The 14793-nt window shown below is 45.3% G+C and overlaps 1 protein-coding gene across 1 annotated transcript, besides 20 other annotated features; it reads left to right on the top strand.

Moving 5' to 3' along the window:
- Window positions 169-1012: a meiotic recombination region, noted in NCBI's record as "increased recombination frequency within the HapMap CEU population". NCBI's record gives the evidence for it as "EXISTENCE:nucleotide sequencing assay evidence [ECO:0000219][PMID:20981099]".
- Window positions 169-1338: a meiotic recombination region, noted in NCBI's record as "increased recombination frequency within the HapMap YRI population". NCBI's record gives the evidence for it as "EXISTENCE:nucleotide sequencing assay evidence [ECO:0000219][PMID:20981099]".
- Window positions 169-2740: a biological region, named in NCBI's record as "meiotic recombination hotspot DNA1".
- Window positions 513-525: a nucleotide motif, noted in NCBI's record as "nucleotide motif; similarity to the predicted 16-mer PRDM9 C-type binding motif, CCNCNNTNNNCNTNNC".
- Window positions 741-2640: a meiotic recombination region, noted in NCBI's record as "crossovers mapped in sperm cells of males of European ancestry". NCBI's record gives the evidence for it as "EXISTENCE:DNA detection assay evidence [ECO:0005519][PMID:11586303]".
- Window positions 1426-1941: an enhancer, noted in NCBI's record as "H3K4me1 hESC enhancer chr6:32977249-32977764 (GRCh37/hg19 assembly coordinates)". NCBI's record gives its function as "activates a minimal SCP1, AML or CMV promoter by ChIP-STARR-seq in naive H9 embryonic stem cells {active_cell/tissue: H9 hESC(naive)}" and the evidence as "EXISTENCE:reporter gene assay evidence [ECO:0000049][PMID:30033119]".
- Window positions 1822-7231, top strand: HLA-DOA (major histocompatibility complex, class II, DO alpha). The gene is made up of 5 exons (NM_002119.4): window positions 1822-1958; window positions 3152-3400; window positions 3821-4102; window positions 4198-4333; window positions 4572-7231. Exons 1-5 carry the CDS (start codon window positions 1877-1879, stop codon window positions 4573-4575), a joined length of 753 nt encoding a protein of 250 aa, NP_002110.1. The 5' UTR covers window positions 1822-1876; the 3' UTR covers window positions 4576-7231.
- Window positions 5041-6340: a meiotic recombination region, noted in NCBI's record as "crossovers mapped in sperm cells of males of European ancestry". NCBI's record gives the evidence for it as "EXISTENCE:DNA detection assay evidence [ECO:0005519][PMID:11586303]".
- Window positions 5041-8740: a biological region, named in NCBI's record as "meiotic recombination hotspot DNA2".
- Window positions 5590-8740: a meiotic recombination region, noted in NCBI's record as "this region was identified as a recombination hotspot within the HapMap YRI population". NCBI's record gives the evidence for it as "EXISTENCE:nucleotide sequencing assay evidence [ECO:0000219][PMID:20981099]".
- Window positions 5908-7482: a meiotic recombination region, noted in NCBI's record as "this region was identified as a recombination hotspot within the HapMap CEU population". NCBI's record gives the evidence for it as "EXISTENCE:nucleotide sequencing assay evidence [ECO:0000219][PMID:20981099]".
- Window positions 6308-6323: a nucleotide motif, noted in NCBI's record as "nucleotide motif; similarity to the predicted 16-mer PRDM9 C-type binding motif, CCNCNNTNNNCNTNNC".
- Window positions 7737-7749: a nucleotide motif, noted in NCBI's record as "nucleotide motif; similarity to the predicted 13-mer PRDM9 A binding motif (LD hotspot motif), CCNCCNTNNCCNC".
- Window positions 7928-7948: a nucleotide motif, noted in NCBI's record as "nucleotide motif; similarity to the predicted 16-mer PRDM9 C-type binding motif, CCNCNNTNNNCNTNNC".
- Window positions 12553-14793: part of a biological region, named in NCBI's record as "meiotic recombination hotspot DNA3", that runs on past the window's edge.
- Window positions 12553-14793: part of a meiotic recombination region, noted in NCBI's record as "meiotic double-strand break mapped by DNA meiotic recombinase 1 chromatin immunoprecipitation followed by single-stranded DNA enrichment and sequencing in the germ cells of some male individuals with the PRDM9 A/A, PDRM9 A/B and PRDM9 A/C genotypes", that runs on past the window's edge. NCBI's record gives the evidence for it as "EXISTENCE:chromatin immunoprecipitation-seq evidence [ECO:0000229][PMID:25395542]".
- Window positions 12871-12886: a nucleotide motif, noted in NCBI's record as "nucleotide motif; similarity to the predicted 16-mer PRDM9 C-type binding motif, CCNCNNTNNNCNTNNC".
- Window positions 13091-14290: a meiotic recombination region, noted in NCBI's record as "crossovers mapped in sperm cells of males of European ancestry". NCBI's record gives the evidence for it as "EXISTENCE:DNA detection assay evidence [ECO:0005519][PMID:11586303]".
- Window positions 13247-14793: part of a meiotic recombination region, noted in NCBI's record as "this region was identified as a recombination hotspot within the HapMap YRI population", that runs on past the window's edge. NCBI's record gives the evidence for it as "EXISTENCE:nucleotide sequencing assay evidence [ECO:0000219][PMID:20981099]".
- Window positions 13247-14793: part of a meiotic recombination region, noted in NCBI's record as "this region was identified as a recombination hotspot within the HapMap CEU population", that runs on past the window's edge. NCBI's record gives the evidence for it as "EXISTENCE:nucleotide sequencing assay evidence [ECO:0000219][PMID:20981099]".
- Window positions 13736-13748: a nucleotide motif, noted in NCBI's record as "nucleotide motif; similarity to the predicted 13-mer PRDM9 A binding motif (LD hotspot motif), CCNCCNTNNCCNC".

Raw genomic sequence — 14793 nt, 5'->3', positions numbered from 1 at the left:
TATAGTCCCAGCTACTCTGGGAGGCTGAGGCAGGAGGATCGCTTAAGCCCAGCTGTTTGAGGCTGCAGCGAGCCATGATTACTTCACTGCCCTCCAGCCTGAGCAACAGAGCAAGGCCCTGTCTCTAAAAAATAAATAAATAAATGCACCACTCTTAGTTATGTATAGGCCAGTCCAAAGATAAAGAAAACCGTAATAAATTAGAATGACAAAATCCACATGCTTGATCCAATAAACATGTACATGTATAAAATTCTGCATCACATTTATTAGAGCCCATGTGAAATATTTACAGAAGTTCACCACACTCCAAGCCATAGAGGATTATCATGTAATTAAATTATAAGTTAATAACAAAAAACATACTTTAAAAAATCTATGTATGTTTTCAAATAAAAAAAACACCCGATACTCGACTGTTATTAACCAAAGAAGCAACATTCTTTATCATGAGTTTTTCATGGCTTTCCCGTCTTTCATCTCATGGCTCCAGCTCCCACCTCACTTGGGGGGAGGTGAAGGTGGCAAGGGTCCTAACCAGGGCAGGACCAAAGCAGTGAAGACACTGTTCATTCATGCGCAGGTGTCTCCTAGGCGCCTATGATGTGCTAGGCATTACGTAGACACTGTGGACTAGAAACGAAAAAACTAAGATTAGGGCTCCCCATAAACCGGGCCATGCAAATCAATTACTAGCTGTCATTTGATTAATTTGAAGTCAGAAGCTGTGTCTGCCCCACTTAAAATAGGCATCCCTTATTCATTGAGGAAAGAGCATTGGAGCAGGTTTTACCAGTCCACAGACTACCCGAGAACCACCTGGGGAGCATGCTGAAAACACAGGTTCCCTGGCCCTGCCTTGGAAAGGCTAATCTAACCCATTAAGTAAAGAGGAAACTCAGGAACACGTATTATAACGAACCCCCCAGGTGATTCTCATTTGGAACCAGAGACCCGCATGATTTCCTAGCTCCCTCCAAGTTGAAAATCATCGATTTCATGGTCTTTGACACATGGCCTAATTTGGTTAGATTTCTCTTTACACAGACGTTAGCTTTACGTTGTTGTTGTTTTGTTTTGTTTTGTTTTTTAAATATATATACTGGACTAAATTCTCCCAGTGCCTCTTATTAGCCGAGCCCAACCAGAAGCCAAAGGCAAGGGTGATGCCGTCCTCCAGCCTGTGTCAGCCTGGAGGAGGTGCCCGGGTCCTGGAGGGACCAACAGAGAGGACCAGCACCTCTGCCCTCCTCGGGGAGTCCACGGGAGCTCTTTACACTTTGCTTTAGACCAAACAACTCCAACAATTACACATTTTTTCTTACACAATGAAATTAAATAATAATAAAAGAAAAATAAAATAACATTTTTGAAAGTGATTTAAAGTTTTAAGAGGTTTTTATTCCATTGTGTAGCCAATGTTTTCCTTTTAAAGATTATTGGTAAAGTTTATTTTACTTTCTAACTCAAAATTTGTCCACGGAAACTTCTTGGGAAAGTAGGATTCCCTGCATCGCAGATGGACATAGAGAGAGGATTTGTTGGAGCTCAGCTGCGCGGTGCTCTGACGGCCTTTTCTCTCTCTTCAGGGGGTCCCTTCTTGGAGGACGTGGTAATAGTTGGTCCAAGCCCCTCCCATCCTCCAAAACTTCCTCTGGCCTCTCCTGGGGGCCCAGTGAATCCTTCCACCTTCTCACCCCGGCTCTTTCCCTCTTTACCCAGCAACAGATACATTCACTCAGAGAATTTCTGTGATTGGCTGAAGACAGCAGGGGTCGCCCCCATCCTCGAATCTGTTTTCTTCTTCTTTACCTCCGCCTTGTTCCTGTCCTCACCACACGGACTGAGACTGATTTGATTAAAGCACCAGAGTGTAATGGCCCTCAGAGCAGGGCTGGTCCTGGGGTTCCACACCCTGATGACCCTCCTGAGCCCGCAGGAGGCAGGGGCCACCAAGGGTGAGTGCGAGGGCGAGGAGGGTGCGGCGGGGAGCAGAGATTTACGGAGTTGGGTTACATGAGGAGGTGGCATGGAGGATGCTTGTTCCTCTCGCTCTCTGGTTTATGGGCAACTTCCTTCACCAAGAGACACCCAATCCCCCTCATCTCTGTCACATCCACTCTGGACCTAAATGAAGATGCAGCTCGGTCAGCTGCGCAGGTGCCCCAGTCAGCCTTTGCTGACGTTCAGATTTCTCCTCATTCCTTCCTCCTTCCTGAGACCCAAACCTCCACCCAACAGATGCCAGCAAGCACCCTGATTTCTCTACCACCCCTGGCCGGGAATGTGCCCGATCAAGTCCAGTTCTGTTGCAGTATTTATGCCCATGCCGGTAGTTAACTATTTACCTGTCTTTGTTCTTCGGGAGACATGAGCTGGGGTGCGGGTCTACAGATGGTTCATCTTTTTTTTCTTTTATTTCCCTGGCCCCCCATTGTGCTGGGTGCATGCTAGTTCCTCAATAACTGTTGCTCAAACAACTTCATAGAGTTCTACAAGAATTAAAACTTAATCCCTAACTTCCAGAAAACTAGACAACAGTTATGGAAGAGCCACACTCAGTCATAATGCTCTGAGATGGAGGAATTGGGACATGAACCTTGACTTCTGACTCCTCGTCCAGTGCTCTTTGTAATGCCTTGAGTTGCCTCTCCCTATCCCCTTGGTCTCTGGGTCACTAACCTTAATTCTTACCCCTGCCAGCCGTGGCCTGTTTCCCCTCACACCCACCTGCACTGCATCTCTGTGCAAAGCTCCATACTCTCCTGTCCTTAATCATTCCTCCTCATCCCACCCCCACAGTCCCACCAGCTCACAACACAGGGCCTGACAACACAGCCAGGGCAGATGACCACAGCCAAGATTTAAATTCTGGAACCCCAAGCATGATTTTAGGCAGTCCCTCCTCTTCCCATCCTGATATGCCAGACTGCACTGTCTCTGTGCCGACTGCAGTGTGCTGGGATGAGCCTCTTTCTTCCTGTTCTCTCTCCCTTTCTCTCTCCCAGGGCCAGCCCAGTGTCAGAACAGGACTCTGTCCCCACACAGAACCCAGGACGGGGCCCAGGCTCAGGGACTCAACAATCACATATTGTGGATGAGACAGACACATTTTTTTCTCTCTCCTTGACCCTGAACTCGCCAAACACAGCTGACCACATGGGCTCCTACGGACCCGCCTTCTACCAGTCTTACGGCGCCTCGGGCCAGTTCACCCATGAATTTGATGAGGAACAGCTGTTCTCTGTGGACCTGAAGAAAAGCGAGGCCGTGTGGCGTCTGCCTGAGTTTGGTGACTTTGCCCGCTTTGACCCGCAGGGCGGGCTGGCCGGCATCGCCGCAATCAAAGCCCATCTGGACATCCTGGTGGAGCGCTCCAACCGCAGCAGAGCCATCAACGGTACCGGCCCTCCCTCTGCCCACCCAGTCAGGCGGGAAGGTCCAGAGAAACTTCCTCCCAGTTCCTAGGCTCCCATCACTCTGGGGCGCGCTCTCAGCGCCCGCGCCTGTCATGCCCTGTTCCTTTCTTTCCCAGGAGGCTCCAGGTCTTCCCAGACCCCTTTGGCACCCCTCTCCTTGAGGAATGACACCTCTCACCCGGACTCCCGCCCAGGGACCAGTCAAATATAGGAGCTCCTGGCGTCCCCACTCCCTCCCCAGTCTCCTCTCCCTCTGTTTTCCTCCTCTCCTGCCCCAGTGGATACCCCAGAGCATCCCCTGCCCACAGATGGCTACAAAGGGGGAACGTCCCTTAATCCCAGTCCTAGTAAGGCCCTGGGGTGAGGGATGAGCCTGTGGACTCAGGGCCTGTTCCTCCTAGTGCCTCCACGGGTGACCGTGCTCCCCAAGTCTCGGGTGGAGCTGGGCCAGCCCAACATCCTCATCTGCATCGTGGACAACATCTTCCCCCCTGTGATCAATATCACCTGGCTGCGCAACGGCCAAACTGTCACTGAGGGAGTGGCCCAGACCAGCTTCTATTCCCAGCCTGACCATTTGTTCCGCAAGTTCCACTACCTGCCCTTCGTGCCCTCAGCCGAGGACGTCTATGACTGCCAGGTGGAGCACTGGGGCCTGGATGCGCCACTCCTCAGGCATTGGGGTACGGAGCCCCCTCCCCATGCACCCTCCTGGCCCCAGGTTTCCTTTACTCTAGAATCCTTTCATATACCACCAACTCCTTCCTTTCTCTCCTAGAGCTCCAGGTGCCTATTCCACCACCAGATGCCATGGAGACCCTGGTCTGTGCCCTGGGCCTGGCCATCGGCCTGGTGGGCTTCCTCGTGGGCACCGTCCTCATCATCATGGGCACATATGTGTCCAGTGTCCCCAGGTGCAGAGGCCCCGGGAGTCTGGGGGGTGGGGGAGGAAAGTGGATGACTCTGAACAGGACGTGGGTGGAGAATCAGAGATTCTGTTGTGGGGAAAGAAGTCAGAAAAGAAATGGGCAGGGAGAAAAGAAGCAGAGGTGGGGTGAGAGAGTGAGGTTTTGGGGGAGGTGGGCACTCAGAGATAGGATCCCAGCATATTGAAATTGAGCAACCTCGATCGTATGTTTTCTGCTATTTTAGGTAATGATCCTTCTGAGAGAAATGACTTGTGGGAGACACCCTGCAGATCCTCATGGGTTTGTGACAGCCCCTGCGTGCTCAGTGCCCTTTAAGTGCATCCCGCTGTGCTGACTTTGAGTGGGATCAACATCTGTCCTACGGGTCCCCTCTTTTTTGGCCCCAGTATTCATGGCAGGGTTTGTTGGACACCTACTAGCTTCCCTTCCCATTCAACACACACACACATTCTTGCTCTACCCAAAGCTCTGGCTGGCAGCACTAAATGCTTTGGTGGTGTTTGCACTGTGTCCTTTCCAGGCCTTGGCCAGTTCTTCCAGGGGTGAGGCATGTGGTGCTGGGGATTGGCAGCCATCCTGGGGCCCACACAGGTGTGTCTTGCTCCATTTGGCCCATTGTGTGTTACTTTGTGAATGAGCCATTTCACATGGACTTCATGAAATTTGCCTCCTGAGTTCAGGTTTACCCTGAAAGGGATGCAGATTATCCTGTTCCTCACGACCCCCTCAGCTAACAACAGTTCTGAAGGGTGCTGGGACAGGACAGGCTCATGGGGACTCCACTCCTGCCTGGGTTTACTCTGTATGAAGAGGCCACTGGTATCCTGCCATGATGTTATCTCCTTTTTCTACTTTTCCCTAGAGTCCCATGCATGATAAAGAGAGGCCCAAGGCTTGGATAAGGTGGCCACTTCCCTCAGTGGAGTCAGTCATGTTAGGTAGGAGGTGGTAGAGTCGGTCTGCGAGGTATCTCGTAAGAGGGGAGGTCCACCTAGACACACTCTAAATATGTGGCCTAGAAGATTTTGGTCTACTTTTCTGTGAACAGAATTTAAAACATACAAAGAGATAAATCACCATACCACATAGTTTATGTCAGGACCAAAATGAGCAATACAGATTACGGTTTTCAAACCAGAATGCACATAAGAACTGCTTGGGATCCTTTTAAAAGTACAGGCATTGGCCTGGTGCAGTGGCTCATTCCTGTAATCCCAGCACTTTGGGAGGCCAAGGGGACAGGACTGCTTGAGGCCAAGAGGTGGAAACCATCTTGGGCTACATAGAGAGACCCCATCTCTACAAAGAAAGATTTAAAAATTAACCAGGCATGGTGGCTCGCACCTGTATTCCCAGCCACTGGGGAGGCTGAGGCCGGAGGAGTGCTTGAGCCCAGGAGTTCAAGGCTGCAGTGAGCCAAGATTGCGCCACTGCACTCCAGCCTAGGTGACAGAGTGAGACCCTGTCTCTAAATAAATAAATAAATAAAATATAAAAATAACAGTCATCACCCAGACCTACTGAATTAGAATCTCGGGAGTGCAGGGGGCAGCAACAGGGAGGCTGTCTTTTCTGAGATGGGGTCTCACTCTGTCACCAGGCTGGAGTGCCATGGCATGATCTCAGCTCACTGCAACCTCCACCTCCTGAGTTCAAGCCATTCTCCTGCCTCAGCCTCCTGAGTAGCTGGGACTACAGGTGTGCGCCACTACACTCAGCTAATTTTTGTATTTTAAGTAGAGACGGGGTTTCATCATGTTGGCCAGGATGGCCTCCATCTCTTGACCTCGTGATCCACCCACCTTCCCTCCCAAAGTACTGGAATTACAGGCATTAGCCACTGTGCCCAGCCGAGGCTGTCATTTTTAACCGGCTCTGGATGACTCTGATGCAGCCATCCTGGACCTTGGCTGTGGTCTGGTAACTGGAACCCAGTGACGTAATCAGGTGCCATCGGGGGTCATGGGAAAGGGGGATCCCCAAGGTCTGAGGTGGACTAGGAAGGCTTTCTGAAGAACCTGGGTCTGTTAGGGCATCAGCCAATCAAGGTACAAGTAAATAGAGGCAAAATGAGGGTTTGAACTGTGAGCAGTTGGTCCTGGAAAAGAAAGAAACCAAGAGATTATGGGGACTCAATGGGCTTCTTAAGAGAGAATAAGTTGAAATCAATGACCAGAAGACCCTGATGGAAGTGGAGGAGAATCATCTCAGGCAAACTTTTTGTGTGCCAGTAACAGAAACCCTCTTTGTGTGATCACATGCAAAGTATAGGATATTTGCAATATAGCCATGGGGAGGAGTGCAGGGCCCAAGGGTAGATTTTAGCCAGGCCTCCCAGGAACAGAACTCGGATCCGAAAAGCCCAGAGAAGCTAGAGCTGCCCCTCCAACACTCTCGGATCCACATGGTCTGTGTTCTCTAGACCCCCCTGCATGTTAGCGGTGTTCTCTCTCTGTGGACTGACTGTCCTTCTCAGTGAACATGTCCACCCGACAGCTCCTGAGTTTATATCATCTCAACCCTCACAACCCACAGAGGCTGTGTCTCCTAGTCACAGCTTTAAATTACTGGAAAAATAAATGACTGGCCAAACTTGGAGCAGGTGTCCATCCCAGCCCTGTGTAGTTAGAGCAGGAATCAAGATCTCAACACAAATGTGGCTGCCAAGCACTCAGCCCCGGGGCGAGGGGTCAAGTTCTTCTCAGAGAAAGAGGAATAAGTTGGTTCTCAGAAGACATCACAAGATACGTGTGTACCCAACAATCTCTGATCTCTGCTGATCTTTTGCTTAGACGTTAACTTGATGCATCATTGGAAAGGTGTTTCTCTCATCTCTGTCCTAAGGCTTGATAAAGTCATTAAAATTGTGTTCTTTTGACTAAAGAAATATGCTTTTTTTTTACTGTTGCATATACTACCCTGAAGTCACTGGAACTTCTAGGAGTAATTCCAGAGCTTTTAGATTTATGCACCTGCGTGTATACTCACATTTGTTTCTAGTCTCAAGGTACGTAGTCTTTTATTTTAAAAAACAAGTTGTCCTCCTGCATTCTTGATCTTTCACTCTCTTTTAGAACAGACATCCAGTAGTCTCCTGTCCTTTGTATCCAAACTCTCCCTTTTTGCAGGGTCACCCTACAAATCATAAGCATGTCATCTCTCCTATATAACAAGAACATCAAATCCTCTGTCTGTCCTTGACCCAGTCTCCCTTCCACCCAAGCTCCTGGTCACGCTCTCTGAGAGTGTCTACGTGGACTGCCTCCAGATCCCCTCTTCCCATCCACTCTCTTTCGGTTTTAATTTTTAACCAAATTATGTTATAGTTTAAAGAGTCAAATATTTCTACAATATTTGCTACAGAAATACCAGTTTCCAGCCCCATCTCCCACCATATCCTCACCCTTACAGAAAATAACTTTCAATTGTTCTAATATGTTTTGTTGGTATTAACCTCCCATCTCTAAATAACATGTTTGTGTTGCTACATCTAGATTTTTCAGCTTTAGGCTTTATCTCTTTACCTCCTGCTGTGGAAGAGGGGGATTTAGATTTTTTTCATCCTCAAAGAACATCATGCCCCCTTTCCCATGCCCTTTCTTTTAATGTGACTATATTGTAATTTTTACAATATAGTAAAAGTTACTGTGTTTACTATGTTTCTATCAATATGACCATGTAATGGCAAACCATAGAGCAAGCCATGCTCACTCTTCCTTTTCTAGACGACTTCGTTTTCTCTGGAGTATATAGTTGTCCTGTTTTCCTTTGTGTGGCTGTATTTGTACTTATTATTAATGAATCACAAAATTCCTCACAGTACAATCAAACACATCAGGTATTCTGTCAATTTTATCACCAGATATAACTCTCCCAGAACCTTCTGTCTGCTCCATTCTTAACTCCTTGCCCTTGATGATACAGCGGTCACTCTGAGATCACTCTTCGCCATCCTCGTCAGGATTTACCTATCCTCCGAGTTGGATCTTCTGCTTCTTGTATCCAGTCATTGCCCTTTTGTGGTCTGCCTTATTTTAATGAGGCACCTCTTCTTTCCACTTCCTGAGAAACAGTGCATATGAGGAAAACTTTTTATGCTTCGTATGTCGGAAAATATATTTATTCTACTCTCACACTTGAATAATAGCTTCCACGGTTATAAAATTCAAGATTGGAAATCATTTCCATCAGAATTTTTAAGGCATTTCTCTATAATCCCTTAGCTTCCTGCGTTATTGTTGATAATCCAAAAGATATTGTGTCATGAAACTTTGTACGTAATCGTTGTTGTTTTTTTCTCTCAGAAGCTTATAGGATATCTGCTTTTTCCCTTCCTCCTTTAAATTCTTATAGGTGCTCCATTACCTACAAGATGAAGACCCTTCTCAAACCGTCCTCAGGGTATTTCTTTTTCTTTTTTTCTTTCCTTTTTTTTTTTTTTTTGAGGTAGAGTCTCACTCTGTTACCCAAGCTGGAGTGCAGTGGTGCAATCTCAGCTCACTGCAACCTCTGTCTCCCAGGTTCAAGCAATTCTCCTGCCTCACCCTCCTGAGTAGCTGGAATTACAGGCACCCCCCACCATGCCCGGCTAATTTTATTATTTTTAGTAGAGACCGGGTTTCACCATGTTGGCCAGGCTGGTCTCGAACTTCTGACCTCAGGTGCTCCGCCTGCCTTGGCCTCCCAAAGTGCTGGGATTACAGGCATGAGCCACCGCACCTGGCCTATTTTAACCATATAATAGCTCCTCCTGAAAATGATCAATGCTTAAGTCACAGAAAACTGTTGTCGCATGTTTACTCCTCCCTGCCTTTGCACAAACTATTCTCTGTGCTGGACCTGCCTTCCTCCACCAACCAGTCAAAATTCTACCTGTCCTTCCAGGGTCCAGATTAAATGTCACCTCTTCTGTGAAGCATTTTCAATCCCAGCCCCCAATATGCTGGCCACCCTGTCCCTGCAGTGCATACCACATTCCGCCCTGTGTCAGTTGACTGTGTATGAATTTGCCTTTGCCACTAACTGCTCCTCTAAAGCAAGAGAAGGCTGTGTCTTATAGTTCCAACACCCAGAACATAATGGGCATTGAAACACTGTAGAATTCTATTTAATTCAATTTTGTTTGCTTCAAATCCAGCCTGGTCCGACTGTCTGCAGCTGGTTTTAATAACATTGGCTACCGTTTACCCAACACATGCAATGTGCCTGGCCTTAATGCTTTTCACGTGTAGTGGATTTGAATCTTGGTCCAAAAGATTAATAAGATAGTGCACAGAGTGCAAAAAATAGTAAATGTCTTTAAATAATCGAAAATCTGATTCAAAACCTGCTCTTTAAAAAATCTTAAATCTGATTCAAAACCCCTGCCATGAGGCTGGTTTTAAGTTCAATCTGTCTTTATTGGGGCTTCTGGTCTCTTACAGTTGTTCCAAGGGTCTGCGCCCTGACACAGTGCTGAGGCCTTGGAGAAGCCCCTGTTGTCTTCTCCAGTCCAGACTGTTTACTCCAAGCATGCCTAGGGCTTAACCTGTATGCTCTTTTCCAAGTGGAAGCTCTGCTGCTTCTGCACTAGGCTTGGGGCAGGGGAATCTTTAGTGAGGAGTGATCCCCAGTGCCTGGGAGCAGGACTGCAAAGATGCACCATACGGCCAACTTCCCCGTCCCTGGGAGGCCTCCCCACCTGCCTTGGCTGCTGCAAGGAAGCAGGGCTCTTTCAGACCCACAGGCCACTGTGCCTTCCTCAGTTTGGGAGAACCTTCCCCCTTTGCCTGTCAAAGGCATTCCCCTCTCTCTCTCTGGCACAATGTCTGGGACACCTGGCATAATGTCAAGTGAGCTTCAGATTTTGGGAAATCCAAAGCCAGAAGAGGAAAGGCCTTGGCGGTGACATGTGCTATTGTCTTGTGTGACAAACCTAAATACAAACAAAGGAAAAAGAAAAGCATCATTCTGCCATACATGAATTATTTCATTTCTTCCTTATGACCAATCTGCAAGTTAAGTATAATGATTTCATTTTATAAAGAAGGAAGCTAGGATTCAAATTACCTAACTTGCCCAAGGTCAAACAGCTAGGAGGTGGTTGGAAGGTCTGTGTGATGCTAGAGCCCATGTTCTTTCCACTGCACTGTCCTACTCAGCAGCGAATGGAGACCAGCTTGTGAGACATGAGGCAGGATGAACAGGGTCAGACATCAGCATTACTAGGAAATGTGTAGGAGGAGGTATTCCCAACTTTGGGAACAAACTTCTTCTGAGGCTTCAGCAGCAACAGGCTGCAGGGAATGAGGTGAGCTTGAAGAATGACTGGGGATGGAATTACTGAAGAGATTTTCTTCTCCCTCCTGGATCAGTCGAAGCACTCCCCCAGTTCAGACTTTCTTTCTTGCTTAGTCTAAATTCCCTCCTGGTCAACAAGACTCTATATGATCTGGCGCTGCATGTGTCTTCATCTTTACTTCCCTCTACTCTTCCTTCTTTCATTAAGCAATAGCCACACTATCTTCCCCAGAATTCTCCTTAACATTAATGCCTCCAATTCATCACCCATTCACAACTCGTGTGGCACCAATTCAGAGAAGCTTCATTGACCAACTTTGCTAAATAAACCACCTATCTCCAATCTCTCCCTATCATGTTACCCTATTTATCTCTACACACAGATGCCTTTCAATGAATGATGTCCCACTTCTCAGGCTTTCCTTTCTCTCTGACTTCAGAAAAGCTTCCAGACAAGTGATCGTGCACGCAGAGGAGCGACTTCACTTCCTCTCCTCTCCTCCTTGTGGTTTAGGAGGTTGCTACCTATGACTTGTAATTTGGCTCCATCTTGTGGTTTGCATCCACCCCACCTGGAGCCTCCAAATCTGAGTAAGCCTAAGGTCTCCCAAGGTGGACTCCCCGGCACTTCCGTCCACTGGAAACGTTCTGCTGCCTCCTCCCTAGAGTCCCAACACCGCTCTTGAGACCTGGTCAGGTTCCCAGTTGCCCTTTATTCCTTTCCTCGGGCCTTCAGTATATGGATCTGCTTCAGGTACAAGTTCTTACTGTAATGCCTGAAACATGGTGGTTACTCAATAAATGTTTAAAGCCCCAGCTGACTAAAACAAAATGTAGTCACCCTGCTCTCAAATTCCCTGATGACATGTCCGCATAAAGAAAAATAAATTAAAATTTGTTTTTCTGATATTAACAAGTATTGTTTTGTTAATACTATTATCTTTCATAATAGTATTGACTATTATTATTGAGCACTTCCAATGTGCCAAACACTAGTCTAACCAACTGATATTTGTCAAATCCAGTATCTCCACATTCACTAAGAAGCACACCAGATATTTCCTAAATTGTTGCATGAAACCGAAGTGTTTAGGAGAGTGTTAATAACCTAACCAAAAACAAATCAATAGAAGTAATATTTTTCTGTTAAAACATATTTTAATACATGTAAGGAAATGCCAAACTTAAATATGTATCTTTTTGTTTTTTGTTTTTTTTGAGACAGAGTCTTGCTCTGTTGCCCAGGCTGGAGTGCAGTGGTGCCATCTCAGCTCACTGCAACCTCCGCCTGCTGGGTTCAAGTGATTCTCCTGCCTCAGCCTACCGAGCAGCTGGGACTACAGGCATTCACCACCGCACCCAGCTAATTTTTGTATTTTTAGTAGAGATAGGGTTTCACCATATTGGCCAGGCTGGTCTCGAACTCCTGACCTTGTGATCCGTCCGCCTTGGCCTCCCAAAGTGAAGTATGTATCTTTATTATATAGTAATCTGCCTTTTAAAAATGATATGTCATTATTTGTAACAATTGAAAATTATTGGAAACATGCCTAGTAAGAGTACAATAGTTGAAAAAATTATAGTACATCTGCACAATGGAGTAATGCAAAGCTGTTAAAAAGAATGAGGAGATAGAAAAAATAAGTTCCAATGTTTGATAGCAGACTGGGGTGACTGTAGCCAGCAACAATATATATATATATATATATATATATATATATATATATATATATATATATATATAGTATATTTCAAAGTAGCTAGAAGAGAGGACTTGAGATGTTGCCAACACATAGAAATGATAAATGCTCAAGGTGAAGGATACCCCAAATACCTGACTTGATCATTAGTCTCATTGTATGCATGTAACAGATACTCACATGTACCTCATAAATAAAATATGTAAAATATCATGTATCAATTAAAGGAAAAAGTCTAACGAAAAGGAATGAGAAAGATCTCTTTGAACTAATACGGAGGAATCTCTAGGTTAGAGTGGAAAATTCACAGTGCAATACAATGATTAAACTATGTACTGCCTTTGGGGTAAGAAAGAGGAAAGATACATATTTTTTCAAAAAGGTGGATTGGGTCAGATGTGGTGGCTTGTGCCTATAATCCCCACACTTTGGGAGGATGAAGTGGGAGGATCACTTGAGGTCAGGAATTTAACACCAGCCTGGCCAACATAGCAAGACTCTGTCTCTACATAAAATAAAAAAATTAGCCAGGCATGGTGGTACCCCCTGTAGTCCTAACTACTCAGGACGCTGAAGCAAGAGGATCATTTGAGCCTAGGAGTTCGAGGCTATAGTGAGTTATGATGGTGCCACTGCACTCCAGCTTGGGCAACAGAGTGAGACCATGTCTCCAAAGGGGGAAAAAAGCTGCATTGGAAGGATAAACAAGAAATTAATAAAAATGGCTACTTTTAGGAAGGAAGGGAGAATAGAAGTGAGAAGTGAATATTGACCTTTGAAACGTATAAATAATTTACAATGTTAATAAAAAATTGACAAAAACCTCTAAAATTTAAAACAAATAGAACTGAACCACACAGAAAAAATAAGTATCCCAAGTGATATTAAAAGATACTACTGTATGTTCTTGGTGGAATACACTTACTCTCTCTCTTCTCTCTCTATTTTTTGTTGTTGTTGTTGTTTGTTGTTTGTTGTTTTTTTAGACAGGGTCTTGCTCTGTTGCCAGCCAAGGCTGGAGTGCTGGAGTGCGCTGGTGTGATTATAGCTCAGTGCACCCTCAAATTCCTGGGCTCACGTGATCCTCCCACCTCGGTCTCCCAAGTACAGTAGCTGGGACTTCAGGAACATGCCACCATACCCAGTTAATTAAAATACATGTTTTAAATAGAAATGGGGTCTCATTATGTTGCCCCAGCTGACTTAATAGAATATATTCTAAGGACAAAAAGAACTATCAGAACTTTGAACATCATTCAGTTGTTTTATGGTTAAGTAATATTTGTATCCTTATTTGAAACTATACTATATATAAAATAAAGCAAATCAGTGATTATGTTAATATAATTAAGAACTAAGATTTTTAGGCCGGGGGCAGTGGCTCATCCCTGTAATCCCAACATTTTGGGAGGCCAAGGCGGGCGGATCACAAGGTCAGGCATTCAAGACCAGCCTGGCCAACACAGTGAAACCCCGTATCCACTGAAAACACACAAAAAATCAGCTGGGTGTGGTGGCGGGCGCCTGTTATCCCAGGTACTCGGGCGGCTGAGGCAGGAGAATTGTTTGAACCTGGGAGGCAGAGGTTGAGGTCAGCGGAGATTGCACCATTGCACTCCAGCCTGGGCAACAGGGAGAGACTCCATCTCAAAGAAAAAAAAAAAAAAAAAAAAGAACTAAGATTTTCATGTATAAAAAGCAAGTAAAAGTAGCTGAATTAAAATAATAATATTAGAAAAAATATTTGAACTAGAACTGTCAATTTTAACTAATGATTTACTAACATATATGTCCCTGCTCTAGCAAATGAAAGAGCCTAATAGTAGCCCTGTAGCAATGAGCATCCTCAATGCACAGATTGTAGTGTGTAAATATCATTTCCCACTCAAAGGAAATAGAGCTTCTTGGAGAAGTGACCAGTTCCAGGCCTGAGTTATGGAAAATACAAAGCAAGTGTGAGTATCTCATTGTTTTCATAAAACAAGGCACTGTTCAAAGACTAATAGAGTCATGTCAAAAAAACAGGTCAGCCAGTTTGAAGGAGCTTCCATTGGCCAAAACTGGAACAACTCAGACATCAAAAAGATGACTATAATATAATTAAACACATTGAGTATATAAAAATCCATGGGTTCCTATTAATAGTCGAATACAGATTTTAAAAAGTAAGCAACAACAACCCATTGATATTACCACTGGATGTGATCTTCCAATTCATAACACAGGAAATTGGTGCTTAAAGAAAACAAGTATATATCCTGACATTTCACAAGGAAATGTTCCACTGATGAAAAAAGGTCTACCCTTCAGAGTACCAGTGAATAAATGTTGGGAAAAATAACAGAATTAGAAAACCAGCATTTTGTAAGCCTAATGTGATCATTGATTCAGGGAAGGCATCATATATGTTAAAACCATTAGGAGAATAGACAGTGAGGAACAAGAGAGTCACATCATGCCAAAGTA

Source organism: Homo sapiens, chromosome 6, assembly GCF_000001405.40.
Source record: "Homo sapiens chromosome 6, GRCh38.p14 Primary Assembly".
Classification (NCBI taxonomy): domain Eukaryota; kingdom Metazoa; phylum Chordata; class Mammalia; order Primates; family Hominidae; genus Homo; species Homo sapiens.
The sequence above is the reverse complement of the archived record's forward strand: the minus strand, read 5'-3'. Positions and strand labels throughout refer to the sequence as shown.